The sequence below is a fragment of the Homo sapiens genome, chromosome 11 (genome assembly GCF_000001405.40).
Source record: "Homo sapiens chromosome 11, GRCh38.p14 Primary Assembly".
Taxonomy (NCBI): Eukaryota; Metazoa; Chordata; class Mammalia; order Primates; family Hominidae; genus Homo; species Homo sapiens.
The window spans coordinates 19,330,960-19,333,118 of record NC_000011.10 but is presented as its reverse complement, the minus strand read 5'-3'; the positions used below and the strand labels follow the sequence as shown (position 1 = coordinate 19,333,118).

General features: G+C 42.0%; 1 annotated feature.

Annotated features, from left to right (window-relative positions):
- Positions 665–714: an enhancer, noted in NCBI's record as "active region_4517". NCBI's record gives its function as "activates an Ori minimal core promoter by ATAC-STARR-seq in GM12878 lymphoblastoid cells {active_cell/tissue: GM12878}" and the evidence as "EXISTENCE:reporter gene assay evidence [ECO:0000049][PMID:35858748]".

Here is a 2,159-nt window from a genome sequence, read left to right as displayed (position 1 = left end):
AAATATATATATATATATATATAAAATAAATGCATGCCATCATTTTGACTAAGTAAAATTTATATGCATGTGGACAGATAAGCAAAGGAATAGGAAAATAATTCCTTATGATAAGGTGGGAAGATAATACTTTATTTTTAAAAATATGTTACCCTTTTTAAAATGAGATATTTTCACTATAACTCTTATGGGTCATCTAGAAGCCTTAGTAAAGCAGACATCTTCTCCATCCCAGGGTCATCATCTGTGGAAAATGGCAAATATTCTTCCCCTGGAGCAGCACAAGTGAACAGGGGCATTTTAATTCTGTGGAAAGGCTGACAGAACCTGAAATGTAAAGCTAAAAATATAGGCAAGCAGCAAAGAATAGCAAAGGCGCTAAGATACATGCATCAGAAGCAGGTGTTAGAAACTTTCTGAAGCCACATCATAATTCAACTAGGTCAGATGGAAGGCTTAGATGACACAAGACCGAGAACTGGTGCAGAGCCAAGGCACCCTGAGAAAATGAGGGCAGTTTGACCATTTTGGGGGTTACCTCCCTTCTGAGGTTAGATGACATTGTTCTGCTCTCTCACAAACCAGTTCTTGGTACCCTTCTGAAAAATATAAGCCTGGACTAGAGGGGTTGATCCATTCTCCATGTCTTCATACCCAGGGGGATGGGTGAATGGCCTCTGCAGAAAATTTTGAAAAGGAGACACTTAAGAAGTAATAGCATCTTTTGCCGGATATGGTGGTTCACACTTGTAATTTCAGCACTTTGGGAGGCCAAGGTGGGAGGATCACTTCAGCCCAGGAATTTGAGACTATCCTGGAGAAACATAGTGAGATCATATCTCCACACACACACACACACACACACACACACACACACACACACACACACACACAGAGTAAAAGAATTAGTTGGGCATGGTGGCATATGCCTGTAGTCCTAGCTACTCAGGAGGTGGAGGCAGGAGGATGGCTTAAGCCCAGGAGGTCGAGGCTGCAGTGAGCTATGATCATGCCACTGCGCTGCAGCCTGAGTGACAGAGCGAGACCCTACCTCAAAACAAAAAAAGAAGGAGTAATTGAATCCAAGAGGAAACAGTTCAGCATAGTGGTTCTGATCACAGACTTGGAGCCTTGCAGACCCAAGTTGGATCCCAGCTAACCACGTACTAGATATATGACTCCAAAGCAGCCCTTAACCTCTCTGGGCCTTAGTCTCCCTATGTGTGTAATATGATTGATAATAGAATGTACCCTAGAAGATTTGGGAGAGTAGTAAATGAGATCATGCTGATAAAATGTTTAGCACATAAGTGCTCGATCAATGTTAGGTCCTATAATTTTATGGAACTGCAATCCCTAAGTTTGATTTCTTAGGATAAACTAAAGATGTCAAATGCAATATATATTGAGCCACAGACCGTGTAGTAGTCACAAAAGGAGAAAGTGAAACGAATATGCTCCTGTTAAACCTTTCTTCTGTTCACTGCTAGTTGGCAGAGAGAAGGGAGAAGGGAAAATAAATAAATAAGTAAAACCCAATCAGAAAACCTGGAGGCCCAGTGGAGAACCCTTTACTGAGGCTGACATGGGAAGTACGTATGCTCCAGGTTACAAAGGATTTTGAATAATGTGTGTCCCTGAGTGTTTACATAGAAGTTCTCATCTATTTTATAAGCAACTCTGCTCTTCCCTCAGAAGTTGGGACAAATAGGACTCAGGTCACTCAGAGGAAAGATAATGGGTCCTTGCCCATGCCTCTGAGATCAGGTAAGCATCCCTCACAATTCAACCTGCCCCCATGGCCTTCTGAACTTGGGCACCATTGTGGACCCAGGGAGCTACGATTTGGATGGGCAGAGGGAAAGGAACTGCTGGTTGTTAATTTGTGTTTTCAGACCACACATCCAGTCTCAGGAAATTAAATCACAGATTCAAGCTGGATGTTCCCCAGTCCTGTGATTCTTAATGTTTTGAAGGGCCAGTACTCTTGGAAATCTGATGGAAACTTTGGACTCATCCCCAGACAACACACTCAAGCACGATGCACACATGCGGATGCATACCCTATTTTTCATACTATTTCAGAGTATTTATGAAGCCACGTGAACCTTCTAAGATCCAAAGATAATTTGATTCATAAGACTTTTTAATCCTTGAAC